General features: G+C 39.1%; 1 pseudogene, besides 1 other annotated feature; it reads left to right on the forward strand.

Moving 5' to 3' along the window:
• RPL7AP57 (ribosomal protein L7a pseudogene 57) lies at positions 1,488 to 2,354 on the forward strand (annotated as a pseudogene).
• Positions 9,283 to 10,482: an enhancer, noted in NCBI's record as "MED14-independent group 3 enhancer chr11:91902042-91903241 (GRCh37/hg19 assembly coordinates)". NCBI's record gives its function as "activates an origin of replication core promoter dependent on BRD2, BRD4, P300/CBP and CDK7 cofactors, and independent of MED14, by STARR-seq in HCT116 cells {active_cell/tissue: HCT116}" and the evidence as "EXISTENCE:reporter gene assay evidence [ECO:0000049][PMID:35650434]".

A 19,493-nucleotide genomic window follows, 5' to 3' on the forward strand; every position in this document is an offset into this window, starting at 1 on the left:
AATACAAAATGTAGCCATGCATGGTGTCACACACCTGTAATCCCAGCTACTCAAGAGGTTGAAGCATGACAATCACTTGAACCCAGGAGACAGAGGTTGTAGTGAGCTGAGATCATGCCACTGCACTCCAGCCTGGGCAATCGAGCAAGACTCTGTCTCAGGAAAAAGAAAAAAAAAAAAAAGAGTAGAATTGACACAAGGCCATGCCATGGGAGACACAGAGTTATTACTCTAATCAATCTCCCCAAAGGCTCCGAGGTTAGCAGTTTTTCAAAAATAGTTTGGTAGTCAGGGGCTAGGGTAAGGGCCATGCTGATTGGCTGGGTCAAAGATGAAATCACAGAGAATCCAAACTGTCCTCTTGTGATGAGTTGGTTCCTGGGTGCAGGCCACAGGAAAGGTTGGCAGGTCTGGGTGGGGCTGTACAGTTGTCAGAAATGCAAAAACCTGAAAAGACATCTCCAAAGGCCAATCTTCCATTCTACAGTAGTAATGTTATCTGCAGGAGTAATTGGGGAAGTTGCAAATTTTATGACTTCCGGAATAATGGCTGGTAATTACTTAGAATTCAAACCCCTTTCATCCTCCTAACTTGGTGGTGTTTCATTAGTTTTAAGTTCAGTGTGGGGGAAATGCTGTTATTATTTAAACTATAAATTAAATTCTCCCAAAGTTAGCTTGGCCCACACCTAGGAAAGAGCAAAGATAGCCAACATATGAGGCCATAAGCAAGGTAGAGTTAGCCTTGTCAGATCTCTTACTGTCATAATTTTGCAAAGACAGTTTCAGTGCAATGCCAGTGCATAGTGTATGGGTAAATAAATATTGTTTCCTTTATGACATTTTAAACAAGAGCAGTGGACAACAGGGGAGAGAGTCAATCCAAGCATTACTAACCACTCATCAGTGGCCCTACACCCTCATACTGACATTCTGAGTTGATCTGAAGGAGCCTCTGTTACTCTGCTCCTTGCCATTAGTTTTTTCACCAGAAGCTGTGCTTTAACCACCAGCTTCAAATCCCCAGATCTTTCTAATTCAGAGACCATCAAGGTTGCAAATCAAAGTGAGCTTCACTTAAAGCAAATGCTAAACATCTAGTCCATAAAAGTCTTCCCCTAAAACAGCACTGGTTTTCTGCCAATGCATATTTTGAACACACATATATTTAAATCTCCTCAGGTATGTCTTTAAGTCTCCAGGGTCCATAAAGAATTTAGCAGTATTTTTCACACAATGGGTCCCCAGTGAGTAGAGTGTTTATTAGGTGAGAGAGAGAAGGCAGAGGAAGAAGAGCAAAATATGGAGAATGAAAGGAGGAGAAGAGGAAGGGAAGTAGAGAAAAGGGATCTTACCCTTGCTTCGTACCTGTCTGGTCCATTTAAGCATCCTTTAAGGTGGTGGGTTTTGAACACCAGTGCATAAAAGAATCATTAGGGGACTTGTTGAAAATGCAGATTCCTGCTCCCCACTCCAAAAGATTCTGACTTGCTCTCTCCTCCCACCACCCAAGATGCTGAAAGGAAAGAGGGGCAAGGGAAAGAAGGTGGCCTAGCCCCTGCTGTTGTGAAGAAGCATGAGGCAAAGAAAGGGGTGAATCCCTGTTTGAGAAAAGGTGAAGAATTTTGGCAATGGACAAGACATCCAGCACAAAAGGGGCCTCACCTGCTTTGTCAAATGGCCTCACTATATCACATTGCAGCTGGCAAAGAGCTAGCCTCTATAAGCAGCTGAAAGTGCCTCCTGCGATTAACCTGTTCACCCAGGCCCTGAACTGCCAAACAGCTACTGACTGCTTAAGCTGGCCCATGAGTACAGACCAGAGACAAAGTAAAAGAAACAGAGCCTGTTGGCCTGGACCGAGAAGAAAGCTGCCAGCGAAGGGGCTGTCCCCACTAAGAAACCACCTGTCCTTTGAGCAGGGGTTAAAACTGTCACCACCTTATTGGACAACAAGAAGTCTCAGCTGGTGGTGACTGCACACGAAGTGGATTCCATCAAGCTGATTGTCTTCCTGACTGTCCTGTGTTGTGAGATGAGGGTCCCTTACTGCATTACCAAGGGGAAGGCAAGAGTGGGATGTCTACTAGCCCACAGGAAGACCTGCACCACTGTTGCCTTCGGAAGAAGACAAAGGAGCTTTGGCTACGCTGGTAGAAGCCATCAGGACCAATTACAATGACAGATATGTTAAGAACCATCCTCACTGGGGAGGCAATGTCCTGGGTCCCAAATCTGTGGCTAGCATTGCCAGGTTGAAAAAGGCAAAGGCTAAAGAACTTGCTACTAAACTGGGTTAAATGTACACTGTTGAGTTTTCTGTACATAAAAATAACTAAAATTATACAATTTTTTTTCCAAAAAAAAAGCTGGGGGGATTCTGATTCAGTAGGGCCCTGGGAAGGTACATGTTAGCAAGTGTCCCCAGTCACTTCTGATACATAGGTAGCCTCTGCAAGCCCTTTTGAGAAACATTGCCCTAGGGAAATAATGATGAAGACTACTGCAAGGAAGGTTAAGTAGTTCAGGAAAAGGCCACCTACACACCGAATTCAAAATACTTTGAAATAAAGGAGTGGCCATTTTCTCTGAACTCTTATCATTGTAGGGAACAGGGTTATAATGTCACTTTTACCATGTTACACTCTTGCTAAACATCCCAACTAGTTCTCACTGCCAGCAAGACAGAGTCACAATGTCAGCAAGGCCTTTCATAAATGAATTCCACTTATTTTTTCCAACTTGGTCTCTTTACTCATGCATATAGCCTTCATTCCAAGCAAAATAATTTATGCATTGTCCCCAAGCACGCTATAAACATCGTCTCTACATCTATGGTGGAGTTTCTAAAAATCACCTAATTTCCACAACTTTGAGTGATCTAAAGCTTAATATTTCTTCAAATCCCAGGACTGATAGCACCTCCATCTTCCAGATGGCTCCTGCAAACCTGCTTCCTAGGTCCTCCAAGTTTGTTGTCCCCAGGTCTCCAAGCAAGACTCTTAAGAATTCCTGGCAGTTCCTAAAAGTCTTTGAATAAATTAGCTTTTTCTCAAGTTTTCAAGAGCATTTTTCTGTTGATTTGAGTTAAAGAATCCTAAGTCATATACAATTTTTTTTCTTTAACCTTTACTCTTCCTACCTTACATTGGGCACTTTACCTACATTGCCTTTTTCCATTTATTTTTCATGCATCTCTGTATTCTTTCCCCAACTAAATTGCAAGATCTTTTGGAGCATAGACTCTCTTATAAATTGTTTATGCATTTCTCCAAAGGCTTAGGACAGTGTCTTAAACAAAACATAAGTGGGTAGGGGTGGGGGTGGGTAATTGACTGCCCTCGGAGGTTCAAAGTCGCCTTTCTGGCCTCAGCATAAAGTGTTCTTAAAATTCTGATATCAAACTAGTTCTGGAATTTTCCAAATCATTACTAATCCTTTGCCAAACCAATCTAAACTGTGATGGACAGGAAGCATTCTTGTCTGTAACATTTCCCTGGTGCTGTTGTTTAATAAAGATTGCAGCCCTGTGAACATCTGCTTAAAAACAAAAACAAAATTCCTCCAGGGTAGCTTGATTTCTGATCTTCATCAGGAAACGTCTTACACTCTAGCACTCCTAAGAGCATTTGTAAATCCCACACTGTAATTACAGAATGCAAACCTACATTTTTCCCTGCGTTTAGAAGGTAAAGGTTGGGCTTCAGAGTCACAAGCCCTCCCTGTAGCTCACCAGGCTCCACTGTCTTGCCTCTTTCTTTCTAATTATCCAAAGTATATACTCTTCTGCACCAAGGCTGCTTTTCATGAGTGAAGGAACATTGCTCAATCAAGTGAATTTACTATGAATCTTGCCCTTTTAATTTCCACATGAAAAACACACAGAAAACATATTATGTAACTAAAATATTTTTAATTTGCTCATTGCAGTAATTTCATATATACTTTAAAAGTACCTATTCCTCAAAATAAGTTGAAATTTTGAAAAAACATGGTAAAAAGATTTAAGCAAGAGCATTTTTTTTTTGGTATTCTGTTCATATAGCTAAAAGCTTAAGAAATTTCTTTGCAGAAACTCAGGGATATACCAAGTAGGCACATAGACATTATCAGTGTACTCAGTCTTGAAAAATACTGTTGACCATTTTTAGTGTGTTTTCAGTATAAAAATAATCTCTTCTTCTCCTACTTCTAATCAGGCCACCTTTTAGTTTCTGGGGACTTGAAAGAAAAGTGATATATATGCAAATAGTAATAACCTTCAAGATTGACAAGAAAAATTATGCTCAAGTCTGAAGCAATCTCAAGAATATTTTCTACTTTCAGGTAACATTTCTTCTACGATAATCTAAGAGAATTCAGCCTGGGGTTACATTAAGAATAAACAAATTATCTTCTAAAGATCTTAATGCTAAAGCTCAGACAGTGAGTGACACAATTTAGATTTCACATGAAATCTGTCTCCATCAAGAATTCCTTAGACAACCAAGTACCACATTTAGAGCTCTTATTCTCTCCAACACAATTGAAAGTGTCACATGCAAAAGAAAGCCAAAGTTTTTTTAATCATAAGAAAACAATGTGACAATGTCTTGCCTTAGACTTCAACTGAATTCCTCACTGCTTATTACTATGATTATTGATAATAGGCATTTCTGTGCCATTGAAATATTCACAGGACTCCTTACCATCACTGTATCTACAAGCTGCTCCTCAACCCCTCCATGAGATGAATTAGTTATATTCTGACTTTTACTAAAAGTGAAACAAAGACCTCAAGTAAATAAGTAATCTGAGCCTTATAAAATGTTTTCACTTAACAGAAATCAGAATTCATAATTTTTTATTACACATCAACATTCTAAAACACTATGAGATGAAAACACACACACAAAATCCACCAACAATGGAGAGAATAATTTAAACAAAAATAGCTCAAAGGGAGCTCCATGAGTCTACAACTTCATTTTCTTTGCAGTTTCATCCAAGAAAGCATATATTAACCTTGTACCCAGTCTTAACTAATTCTTCCAAGCAATTGCCAGAAGCTTTCTTAGACGTGCTAGTTCTTGTTGTAATAGTTATGATATCTAAGTTAGTTCATGTGTGACAGAAACCTTGTTTTACTAAGAACAAGAGAGCATTCTAGTCATGAAACCCACTTTCTTGCCAATAAACTACCACAATACAGTCACCATACAGTTGCTTCCCTGGCCAGTCAGTAATGCATGAGGTACAATTTCAAACTAGGATATTTATCAGTTGTTTATTCCTAATGAAGCCCACAGTGCTACAAGCAGAACTACTGGGTTATTTTTCCTCTTTATAAATGTCAGCTCATATTTTCTTTAAGCACAGAACTTTGAAAGAAAGAGATAAGAAAATAAAGGAAGCAAGCTTTGTTTTGAATATCTCTTGCATAGCCAGTAATGACAAACACTTTACTCCAGCAAGAGGTAATGCATGGAAGCATTTAACACAGTGTATGCCTTACAGACAGTCCTTAGTAACTGATAATTAAAACTAAGATGAAAAACTCAGTGAGCCCTTCCTCTGATTGGCATTTACCTGATGGGAGATAAGCATTTCTTCTTGCCCTAGGAGTGATTATTTCTAGAAGAATCACAGAAAGCTCGATGTACCAGATTGAGTTATTAACAGACAATCTGTTGTCTCTAATTTATCAGAATGTTTCAAACAATGTAAGCAACACATCAAACATATTTCTTTTAAAAAGAGGAGTCTTATTATTTGAAGTTGTTTACAAAGAGGGGAGTTGCACCACCTCCATGGCCCCACAACCCTAGTCCTATTGCCAGCATTGAAAATCAGGGCTATCCCATGGCTACATTGTTCATGGCCCAACTCCTGGAACTCTCCAATGATCAGCAACGGGAGTGGCCCTGCCTGCAAGTTTGCCATATGGTAGCCCTGAAAGACTCTTCCTTAGGCATGTGGGCCCTCAGAATGAATATGGCTTAAAGCAGATGTAGATGTGATGACTCTTTCTGAACTGTGGTTCAGCTTTGGTGTCTGGCTTTTCCTATCCTAGGTAGAATAGATATGTAATGTTAGGTCTCAAGAGATCATTTTAGTGAATGTAGTGACAACTGCAGATAACAGTCCCAGGCTATGACAAGGGCTCAGACTTCATAAAGGGCTCAGTCATCACCTCCTAGCTTAGCTGGTCCCTGTACCCCAAGGCCATTGCCTCAGACATGAATGCTTTCCCTTGAAAGTTGTCTCCTTTGAAACCTGGGACAGAGGGTTAGGATCTTACTAGTATTGGCTCAACAGCTATTTCTTACTTAGCTAAAGAAATATAGTAAGCTAAGGCAGTCTTTTGACTGGGTCATGCTGATCAATATGAAAAAATCTCCTTCTTTTCTATTTATTTCAAGCCAAGACTCTAAATATGATCATTATGACTTGTGTTTTTCTTTGTTTCCAAGGAAAATCATAATAATAAATTTATAGGAAAATTTCCAATATACAGACTGATACCTACATTGTTTTTTCTCATCCTCCAAGTTTAAATACCTACAACAGAACCTTAAAAAAAATCTAAGAAAAATGTGTATATAACACTACATAGGAAACATTTATTCATTCAATACATAATAAACACTTTTGAAGTATCCCAGTGGTACACAAGATAGAGACAGCCACTGCCCTCAAGAAACAATCTGTCCCCAGGTTCTTAAAAGGACTAAAAGATTTCGCCAACACAAATGCCTTCTATAAGGAAAAAGCATCTCATCTAGTGTTATTCCCAAAGTAGGGGCTCAGCAGTGGTTAATTAATAATGATGAAGAACAATCAGTCCCTCATGAAACTGACTCAGTATTCCAGAAGTGTCACTATTTAAATGTGGCCTACATTTTCCCATCTTTTCTTATCAAAGTGACACTTTGTCTCAACACGTTGGCTGCAATGTGCATACAGGTACCTTACTGAAACTGTAAAAACACATCTCTCAGCGTGCTAGGGATGTAGATGCTGACATTTATTTTGCCTGTACTTTCAGGGTGGCATTACAGTTCCATAGAGAAGGAGAAACAAAGAAGTTTGGGCTTACTCTTGATGAATATAAGCTTACAAGTCATGAGCAACCGATAACCTACCAGTACTTAAGTTCATGACTGTACCTAAGTAAAAAGTGAGGAGGTCTCTACTGGGGTCTATGTGGGGCTTCAGCAGTCTCAGCTCCCAGATCCTTCACAGTCAGAAGTCTATTATAGCTTCATGTATTGCTCAATAAGTTATAACTTTATAACTTGACATTTTCCCTAGGCCTTCCAACAGGGCTGTAGGAGTTAAAATTCTTTGAGGCCCAACTGTTCAGTTGAAATTACCAAGGACAGGTCTATTGCTATCGTCAAATGCTCTATGCTCCTATAACACTTATCTTCTCAATACCCCATTCTCTCTTACACTTCAGGACTTTTAAACATGTTGGGTTCTACCAAACCCCATCCCCTCCCCACCACCATCGACACACACACACACACACACACACACACACACACAATTTCTTCACTGTGGAAAATTCTTAGTTATCCTTCAATGCTCAGACCAAAAATCCATTGTCCTATGTCAGTGTCATAGGGGCAGGACTCCTGTAGGATGGTGTTCATAATTCTGTTCTGAAATTTAACATAAATTGTAATACATCTATTTATATACAAGTTCCCAAGTTAATCAATGAAATCCTCAAGTATAGGGACTAAAACTTATTTACCTTTATCTTCACAGGATCCTTGGAACACATTAAAGTACTTATTAAATAGTTAAATTTGATTAAGTGCTTATTAGATGAATAAATACATGGATGAATGAAACAAACCCATCCCATCCAAGATTATTTCATAACCCCACCACCAAAGGTCTTTTGTCAGGACAACCATCCTCAAGTAGATCCAGGTTCACTTTAGATCTCAAGTTAATCCTTAGCGAGACATTCTGAGAACTTCTGACCCTCGGTGAGATTTACGCATGTTAGCAGAAGCCATAAGGTTTTTTTTTAATTACAGCTGAAAATATATATGAATATTAATAGTTATTACAAGAAGCTCTGGAGCTTTGGGAAAAAATATGTGGATTTCAAGGAAAAGAAATATTCTATCTCTGGCACAATTTCAAGTACCAAGAGCAGAGTCTTCTTAATGAAGTGTTAACGAAGTGTCAGCATAGACCAGAATGCTGCTGATTTGCATACTCCTTGGTTAATAATGTTAAAATAGGATTGTGTGGATGTTAAATCCTATGTATTTTATAGAGCTAAAACGCCTGTTAAGATTATTGATTCCTTGTGACAATTCTTAGTACAGAATAGTCTAGTAAATTAAAAGAGGATTCATTTGGTTACTCTGGAATGGTTATAATTCTAATTTTCAAGTAATGTATTTCTTTATTGTATTCACAAAGTAAAAGATTGTATGCCCTTGAATTTCACAGACAAACTCGTGGTCCTGAAAATCTAAGATTTTGTGTACTAGAGAAAGAGTTAATGATCACTAGGCTCATAGTTAATAAACCCAACCATTCACTCTCCTCCACAAAAGTATTGGAGGTAAGGCATAAGTGTCAATGACAAGATTGTATCACTGATTTTTGGAATATAGAGCAATTACTTTCTGAAATATATACCATCAGCAAAGCAGCTTAAATATATATACACACACACACAAAATATATATTTATAAATAAGTATATGTTAGTATATTTTAATATGTCTATATATTTAATACATAATGTATGAAATATAAATTAGTTTATATAAGCATAAGCAAAATTTATAATTATGTATATGTATATAAAAATAAATGATAAATACATTAATTTTAATAGTCATAATGCTTAATATATAAAATATATAATATAAAAATATATTTTATATTAATGTATATTTATGTATTAATTATATATGTATTATATATATAAAGTCATTTCAACTTGACCTTATAAATGTTTTCCAGAAAATATTTTGTTCTATTCCTAGTATGTTCCTGGTTTTAAATCCTTATTATTTGCCTTCTGGGCCACTCATGCAACTCCTTAAATTCAGTATTTTCTCTCTTAAATTCATCCTTCTATCAGCCACCATCATGATTTATCTAAAATCTAAATGTTTCTTTGGTTTAAAGCCCTTTAATGACCCACATTACTTACACTACAGGCTTGAGCTCCTTAACAAAGTAATAAAGAAGTAACTCCTGCTTATCTTTTAATCTCATCTCCAATAATTTCATGCCTTGCTTTTTAAACTGTGAAATACCTAAGTATAATAGTTTCACTCCTTTACATAGAACATAATGATGTTTGTTTGCTTGCTTGGGGTTTTGGGGATTTTTTAAAACCTCTATGGCTTATAATCAGAATTTTCTTCTCACCTTAGGCTTCAAGATTTCAAGACTAAGCTTGGGTGTCACCTTTTCCTTAAAGCTTTCTCTCATCTCCCAAGACGGTGGGAGTGCAGTAGTGCAATCATGACTCACTGCAGCTTTGAACTCCTGGGCTCAAAGGATCCTCCCACTTCAGCCTCCTGAGTAGCTGTGATTACAGGTGTGAGGTACTGCACTCAGCCCCATGCATTCTTTAATGCCTTCTCCTTAGATCTAGTCTTATTCTGAATATTTTGTTTTACATTTTTGTCTGTCCACTAGACAGTGTGCTCCATGAAGGCATGAACTATTTGTAGTTATCTGCCAATCTTAACACATTGCTTGGTGGATAGCTGTTGAATGGATGAAGGAATGGAGACATTCTGGATCACTTCTAACTGCTCTTAAGAAAAAAATGTGTTGGGCGGAGGAGCCAAGATGGCCGAATAGGAACAGCTCCGGTCTACAGCTCCCAGCGTCAGCGACACAGAAGACGGGTGATTTCTGCATTTCCATCTGAGGTACCGGGTTCATCTCACTAGGGAGTGCCAGACAGTGGGCACAGGCCAGTGGGTGCAGCACACCCTGCGCGAGCCGAAGCAGGGCGAGGCATTGACTCACTCGGGAAGTGCAAGGGGTCAGGGAGTTCCCTTTCCTAGTCAAAGAAAGGGGTGACAGACGGCACCTGGAAAATCGGGTCACTCCCACCCGAATACTGCGCTTTTCCGGCGGGCTTAAAAAATGGCGCACCAGGAGATTATATCCCGCACCTGGCTCAGAGGATCCTACGCCCACGGAGTCTCGCTGATTGCTAGCACAGCAGTCTGAGATCAAACTGCAAGGTGGCAGCGAGGCTGGGGGAGGGGCGCCCACCCATTGCCCAGGCTTGCTTAGGTAAACAAAGCAGCCGGAAAACTCCAACTGTGTGGAGCCCACCACAGCTCAAGGAGGCCTGCCTGCCTCTGTAGGCTCCACCTCTGGGGGCAGGGCACAGACAAACAAAAAGACAGCAGTAACTTCTGCAGACTTAAATGTCCCTGTCTGACAGCTTTGAAGAGAGCAGTGGTTCTCCCAGCACGCAGCTGGAGATCTGAGAACACAGGCAGACTGCCTCCTCAAGTGGGTCCCTGACCCCTGACCCCTGAGCAGCCTAACTGGGAGGCACCCCCCAGTAGGGGCAGACTGACACCTCACACGGCCGGGTACTCCTCTGAGACAAAACTTTCGGAGGAACGATCAGACAGCAGCATTCGTGGTTCACGGAAAACCACTGTTCTGCAGACACTGCTGCTGATACCCAGGCAAACAGGGTCTGGAGGGGACCTCTAGCAAACTCCAACAGATGAGCAGCTGAGGGTCCTGTCTGTTAGAAGGAAAACTAACAAACAGAAAGGACATCCACACCAAAAACCCATCTGTACATCACCATCATCAAAGACCAAAAGTAGATAAAACCACAAAGATGGGGAAAAAACAGAGCAGAAAAACTGGAAACTCTAAAAAGCAGAGCACCTCTCCTCCTCCAAAGGATCGCAGTTCCTCACCAGCAATGGAACAGAGCTGGACGGAGAATGACTTTGACAAGTTGAGAGAAGAAGTCTTCAGACGATCAAACTACGAGCTACAGGAGGAAATTCAAACCAAAGGCAAAGAAGTTAAAAACTCTGAAAAAAATTTAGACGAATGTATAACTAGAATAACCAATACAGAGAAGTGCTTAAAGGAGCTGATGGAACTGAAAACCAAGGCACGAGAACTACGTGAAGAATGCAGAAGCCCCAGGAGCTGATGCGATCAACTGGAAGAAAGGGTATCAGCGATGGAAGATGAAATGAATGAAATGAAGTGAGAAGGGAAGTTAACAGAAAAAAGAATAAAAAGAAATGAACAAAACCTCCAAGAAATATGAGACTATGTGAAAAGACCAAATCCACATCTGATTGGTGTACCTGAAAGTGACGAGGACAATGGAACAGAGGGAACATGCCGTTCCCTCTGTTGGAAAACACTCTGCAGGATATTATCCAGGAGAACTTCCTCAATCTAGCAAGGCAGGCCAACATTCAGATTCAGGAAATACAGAGAACGCCACAAAGATACTCCTTGAGAAGAGCAACTCCAAGACACATAATTGTCAGATTCACCAAAGTTGAAATGAAGGAAAAAATGTTAAGGGCAGCCAGAGAGAAAGGTCGGGTTACCCTCAAAGGGAAGCCCATCCGACTAACAGCGGATCTCTCGGCAGAAACTCTACAAGCCTGAAGAGAGTGGGGGCCAATATTCAACATTCTTAAAGAAAAGAATTTTCAACCCAGAATTTCATATCCAGCCAAACTAAGCTTCATAGGTGAAGGAGAAATAAAATCCTTTACAGACAAGCAAATGCTGAGAGATTTTGTCACCACCAGGCCTGCCCTAAAAGAGCTCCTGAAAGAAGCACTAAACATGGAAAGGAACAACCAGTAACAGCCACTGCAAAATCATGCCAAAATGTAAAGACCATCGAGACTAGGAAGAAACTGCATCAACTAACAAGCAAAATAACCAGCTAACATCATAATGACAGGTTCAAATTCACACATAACAATATAAGCTTTAAATGTAAAGGGACTAAATGCTCCAATTAAAAGACACAGACTGGCAAATTGGATAGAGTCAAGACCCATCAGTGTGTTGTATTCAGGAAACCCATCTCACATGCAGAGACACACATAGGCTCAAAATAAAAGGATGGAGGAAGATCTACCAAGCAAATGGAAAACAAAAAAAGGCAGGAGTTGCAATCCTAGTCTCTGATAAAACAGACTTTAAACCAACAAAGATCAAAAGAGACAAAGAAGGCCATTACATAATGGTAAAGGGATCAATTCAACAAGAAGAGCTAACTATCCTAAATATATATGCACCCAATACAGGAGCACCCAGATTCATAAAGCAAGTCCTGAGTGACCTACAAAGAGACTTAGACTCCCACACATTAATAATGGGAGACTTTAACACCCCACTGTCAACATTAGACAGATCAACGAGACAGAAACTCAACAAGGATACCCAGGAATTGAACTCAGCTCTGCACCAAGTGGACCTAATAGACATCTACAGAACTCTCCACCCCAAATCAACAGAATATACATTTTTTTCAGCACCACACCACACCTATGCCAAAATTGACCACATAGTTGGAAGTAAAGCTCTCCTCAGCAAATGTAAAAGAACAGAAATTATAACAAACTATCTCTCAGACCACAGTGCAATCAAACTAGAACTCAGGATGAAGAAACTCACTCAAAACCGCTCAACTACATGGAAACTGAACAACCTGCTCCTGAATGACGACTGGGTACATAACAAAATGAAGGCAGAAATAAAGATGTTCTTTGAAACCAACGAGAACAAAGACACAACATACCAGAATCTCTGGGACACAATCAAAGCAGTGTGTAGAGGGAAATTTATAGCACTAAATGCCCACAAGAGAAAGCAGGAAAGATCTAAAATTGACACCCTACCATCACAATTAAAAGAACTAGAAAAGCAAGAGCAAACACATTGAAAAGCTAGCAGAAGGCAAGAAATAACTAAAATCAGAGCAGAACTGAAGGAAATAGAGACACAAAAAGCCCTTCAAAAAATCAATGAATCCAGGAGCTGGTTTTTTGAAAGGATCAACAAAATTGATAGACTGCTAGCAAGACTAATAAAGAAGAAAAGAGAGAAGAATCAAATAGATGCAATAAAAAATGATAAAGGGGATATCACCACCGATCCCACAGAAATACAAACTACCATCAGAGAATACTACAAACACCTCTTCGCAAATAAACGAGAAAATCTAGAAGAAATGGATAAATTCCTCGACACATACACTCTCCCAAGACTAAACCAGGAAGAAGTTGAATCTCTGAATAGACCAATAACAGGAGCTGAAATTGTGGTAATAATCAATAGCTTACCAACCAAAAAGAGTCCAGGACCAGATGGATTCACAGCCAAATTCTACCAGAGGTACAAGGAGGAACTGGTACCATTCCTTCTGAAAATATTCCAATCAACAGAAAAAGAGGGAAGCCTCCCTAACTCATTTTATGAGGCCAGCATCATCCTGATACCAAAGCCGGGCAGAGAAACAACCAAAAAAGAGAATTTTAGACCAATATCCTTGATGAACATTGATGCAAAAATCCTCAATAAAATACTGGCAAACCGAATCCAGCAGCACATCAAAAAGCTTATCCACCATGATCAAGTGGGCTTCATCCCTGGGATGCAAGGCTGGTTCAATATATGCAAATCAATAAATGTAATCCAGCATATAAACAGAACCAAAGACAACAACCACATGATTATCTCAATAGATGCAGAAAAGGCTTTTGACAAAATTCAACAACGCTTCCTGCTAAAAACTCTCAATAAATTAGGTATTGATGAGATGTATCTCAAAATAATAAGAGCTATCTATGACAAACCCACAGCCAATATCATACTGAATGGGCAAAAACTGGAAGCATTCCCTTTGAAAACTGGCACAAGACAGGGATGCCCTCTCTTACCACTCCTATTCAACATAGTGTTGGAAGTTCTGGCTAGGGCAATAGGCAGGAGAAGGAAATAAAGGGTATTCAATTAGGAAAAGAGGAAGTCGAATTGTCCCTTTTTGCAGATGACATGATTGTATATCTAGAAAACCCCATCGTCTCAGCACAAAATCTCCTTAAGCTGATAAGCAACTTCAGCAAAGTCTCGGGATACAAAATCAATGTACACAAATCACAAGCATTCTTATACACCAATAACAGACAAACAGAGAGCCAAATCATGAGTGAACTCCCATTCACAATTGCTTCAAAGAGAATAAAATACCTAGGAATCCACCTTACAAGGGACGTGAAGGAACTCTTCAAGGAGAACTACAAACCACTGCTCAATGAAATAGAAGAGGATACAAACAAATGGAAGAACATTCCATGCTCATGGGTAGGAAGAATCAATATCGTGAAAATGGCCATACTGACCAAGGTAATTTATAGATTCAACGCCATCCCCATCAAGTTACCAATGACTTTCTTCACAGAATTGGAAAAAACTACTTTAAAGTTCATATGGAACCAAAAAAGAGCCCACATTGCCAAGTCAATCCTAACCCAAAAGAACAAAGCCGGAGGCATCATGCTACCTGACTTCAAACTATACTACAAGGCTACAGTAACCAAAACAGCATGGTACTGGTACCAAAACAGAGATATAGATCAATGGAACAGAACAGAGCCCTCAGAAATAACGCCGCATATCTACAACTATCTGATCTTTGACAAACCTGACAAAAACAAGTAATGGGGAAAGGATTTCCTATTTAATAAATGATTCTGGGAAAACTGGCTAGCCATATGTAGAAAGCTGAAACTGGATCCCTTCCTCACACCTTATACAAAAATCAATTCAAGATGGATTAAAGACTTACATGTTAGACCTAAAACCATAAAAACCCTAGAAGAAAACCTAGGCAATACCATTCAGGACATAGGCATGGGCAAGAACTTCATGTGTAAAACACCAAAAGCAATGGCAACAAAAGTCAAAATTGACAAATGGGATCTAATTAAACTAAAGAGCTTCTGCACAGCAAAAGCAACTACCATCAGAGTGAACAGGCACCCCACAAAATGGGAGAAAATTTTCGCTACCTACTCATCTGACAAAGGGCTAATATCCAGAATCTACAATGAACTCAAACAAATTTACAAGAGAAAAACAAACAACCCCATCAAAAAGTGGGCGAAGGACATGAACAGACACTTCTCAAAAGAAGACATTTATGCAGCCAAAAAACACATGAAAAAATGCTCACCATCACTGGCCATCAGAGAAATGCAAATCAAAACCACAATGAGATATCATCTCACACCAGTTAGAATGGCAATCATTAAAAGTCAGGAAACAACAGGTGCTGGAGAGGATGTGGAGAAATAGGAACACTGTTACACTGTTGGTGGGACTGTAAACTAGTTCAACCATTGTGGAAGTCAGTGTGGCGATTCCTCGGGGATCTAGAACTAGAAATACCATTTGACCCAGCCATCCCATTACTGGGTATATACCCAAAAGACTATAAATCATGCTGCTATAAAGACACATGCACCCGTATGTTTATTGCGGCACTATTCACAATAGCAAAGACTTGGAACCAACCCAAATGTCCAACAATGATAGACTGGATTAAGAAAATTTGGCACATATACACCATGGAATCGTATGCAGCCATAAAAAATGATGAGTTCATGTCCTTTATAGGGACATGGATGAAATTGGAAATCATCATTCTCAGTAAACTATCGCAAGAACAAAAAACCAAACACCGCATATTCTCACTCATAGGTGGGAATTGAATAATGAGAACACATGGACACAGGAAGGGGAACATCACACTCTGGGGACTGTTGTGGGGTGGGGGGAGGGGGGAGGGATAGCATTGGGAGATATACCTAATGCTAGATGAGGAGTTAGTGGGTGCAGCGCACCAGCATGTCACACGTATACATATGTAACTAACCTGCACATTGTGCACATGTACCCTAAAACTTAAAGTATAATAAGAAAAAAAGAAAAAAAGAAAAAAGTTTGTTAAGTTCTTAGGCAAGAGTGAATGAGCTAAAGTCCACTGACCTGCTCTTGCTTCATTCTTTTCTTCATTGTTCATTTACTTTACCAATTCCACTTTTCCCCTTTTTTAGAGTTTTTTAAACTAATTCTTCTTCAGAGGTTTTTTTTATTTTAGAGTTTTTAAAATTAATACCAGAAATTAATGATTTCAGGATGATCTTCATCACCTTTATTTCTATGGCTCCAAACATGCTTGTATTTAATTTTCTACTGGAAATGTCTGTGCAATGCAAGAACATAAGGGTTTCCTCTCCAATATAAACATGGTGAAATTGTTTGCTTTAATTTTCTGTCTTACTGTTATAAAATGGAAAGGGATAATAAATGCATCTTGGATTCTTGATCTTTTGATATAATTTCTAACTTTAATATTACCTTAAAAAATCATCCCCCACTGGACAGAAGAAATTACTTTAGCATTTCTTCTTGCATTACAATAATGCACAAGGAACTGAAATACAGTGAATAGGATCTAATCCTGTCCTCAAGAGGTTTATAGACTTGTAAAGAAATAAGACAAGAAACCAGTCAACTATAATTCAGTTGTGAAAAATGTTCTCTCACTAGAGAGTTACTTTTTGAGATCGGATCCCAAGCACACAGAGCTGGAGTGCAGGAGATCTCCTGAGAATTGGCATCCCCACCACTCTAATGCAGTGCCACAGCTCTGTCAATATGGGGAATGTCCGTCAGTGTTCTGGCAGGGATCAGCAGACACATTTTAGCTCTTCAACCGCAAAGCAAAATAAGCAAAATGTCAGCACTGTCTTAACAAGATTGCCTGTTAAAAGGGTGTTTAATTCTTGGGATAGAATTTCAGTTGACTCAAATGGCAGGCACACCCTCAAGTTCCCAAATGTCCATGTCTAGAAGAGTATCAGAATTATCATGCCCTGGTTCAATTTGGCACATAGCTCAGACAATAGCTCTCACAACCCCACTTATGAGTCAAATATGGGAATGGGTGGCTGACTTTAAACTTCCAAAGCCCATTCTGTTCTCCAAATCTTGGAATTATGGTGTCTTTCAAGAAAGACCATAAAAAGGCATGGAAATATTTGTAAGAGCAACATAAATAATGTGAAATCGATTTTTTAAATCAGGTCCACTCTACATGCATGACCAGGTCAAAGTATTTAAAAACATACATTGACATCATGGCAACTAGCTTAGTGTGAAAAATCTCATCTATGGAAACACACAGGTTTCTGTGACATGAAATGAGATTATTGACCATTTATGCTACAATGGATTGAACAAAAGGAATGGAAGAAGTAATATGCTAAATTAGAATCATGATTAACTTGTTTTACCAGCTTAGGCAACGCATACAACTGTAAACCACTCTGGTCCAGGAAATCAGATATAAGAGTTCTAGTGATGCCTGTCCTACTAACTGCAGCCTTAGGAAAGACCCTTCACCTCTCTAACATAAAGATGATACTTGTCCTTTATGCATTATAAGGCTCAGAACTTGAGGAGTGCAACCAAGGTTTTCTCACAAATGCTTGAGAAAAGTCAGAGCTCTTTTTTAAGGGAAATCACAACCCTAACCACATATGTTCCTGTTCCCCAAGCCTCTACTGAAATGGCTTGGCCCTCCAACTTGGCAAGAATGTGAGTAAAGCTCTTAACATTCATAACATAATGATAACTCTACCTCCCTCATGTCTGGTGTCTAAAGCACATGGCTTTCACATTAGCTAACATAAAAGAATAGCTGTTCCATGGGTAGTTGTAAGAGAGGCGTGAATTGTCTGTGAGCCTGCACCTGACAAAGACTAGCTTGAGACATCTGATATTTGAAAAAGACAGTCTAATGGATATGCTGAATATCCTTCCTTCTAGGTTCTAACATCTTGAGTTAGATCATCAGGAAGCAACGTACCTGGGTGAAATTATCTCAGTTATCCATAGAAATGCCTTCACTGACTAGTGATAAAGGATTTTTTCCTGAGCCTTTACTGAGGGTCGATATGAAAACTGGCTTATCAGTATTTCTATTGTTTTTGGAAAGCTGTTGCCAGGCAGTGTCCACTATGCCTGAAAATAACCAGTTTTGAAAGGGAGCACAGAAATTCACATTTAACTTAATTTCAAGAAGAGGTTAGTTTCTGTCTGTGAGTGTGTATGCTTTCTTTGGTGTGCAGTGAATATCAAGTAACTAATGAGCTTCCCTTTTTGCACAGGTATGAGAAAACTCACAGCTAAATTCATACATACCTTAGAAATTCACTTACTTTAGGTTATGGCACTTTATTCTTCATGGTTTTTAAAAATAGTCTTTCTTCTATTTTAATTATCAAATACCCATTTTACATGTTTGACTTGGGAGCTACTTTCTATATTTTTCAGATTTCAGAAGTATATAGCTGAGGGTAAGTAGGAAAGGAAATAAAACTCATGGAACATGACTCTGTTACAGGGAGTTTAAATACATAACCTTAGGTATTTAACAGCAACACCCTTTCCTAATTTAGAGATGAGGTTCAGATATATCAAATAACATAATCAACATTACAGAACTAGTAAGAGTCACAGCTGATATTTGAACCCAGTTTTTTCTGATTTTGTCCAAAGCCTATCTTCCTATTTATGATCTACTACATATATATTAAACATTCATTATTCATTATTATCATAAGTTAACTTGGGGCTTGGTTATTAAGTTGATTAATTAAATACCCATTCCCTTTTGTTGTATTGTTGTGAGGATAAAATAATACTAAATACATGAAAGCACTCTGAAAGAACTTTATTTTATTTTATTTTAATTTATTTATTTTAGATGGAGTCTTACTCTGTTGCCCTGGCTGGAGTGCAGCGGCACGATCTCGGCCCACTGCAACCTCTGCCTCCCGCATTTAAGTGATTCTCATGTTGCAGCCTCCCAAGTAGCTGGGATTACTGGCACCCACCACATGCCCAGCTAATTTTTGTATTTTTAGTAGAGACAGGGTTTCACCATGTTGGTCAGGCTAGTCTTGATCTCCTGACCTCAGGTCATCCACCTGCCTCGGCCTCCCATAGTGTTGGGATTACAGGCGTGAGCCATCAAGCCTGGCTCTGAAAGAATTTTAAAATGGTATACAACAGTATTGTATTATCTATTACTCTCATATTGATAATTATAAGTCTTGAATTATTATATCAAGATTTAAGGACTGTACGTGAGTATGTAATTCTAAATCTTGAGGGCTTCCTTGCTTACTCTATTAGTACTCAAGAATGATTTTTAACCAAGTGGTGTGCCAAGAAGAGTTTTGGTAAAAGTCCCTAGGATGTAAAATTCTTTACAGAAGTTCACCAACAAATGACATTCTAAAGTAAACTTCAGCTCATAAAATTGCTATTCTAGTAAAGAAATTATTCTGACACAATTCCATCTTCCTGAGCCATCTGAAGCCATCCATTTGAAAATCCTACAGTGGTTCTCTGACCTGCAAACAGGTA

This window comes from Homo sapiens, chromosome 11 (assembly GCF_000001405.40).
Source record: "Homo sapiens chromosome 11, GRCh38.p14 Primary Assembly".
NCBI lineage: Eukaryota > Metazoa > Chordata > Mammalia > Primates > Hominidae > Homo > Homo sapiens.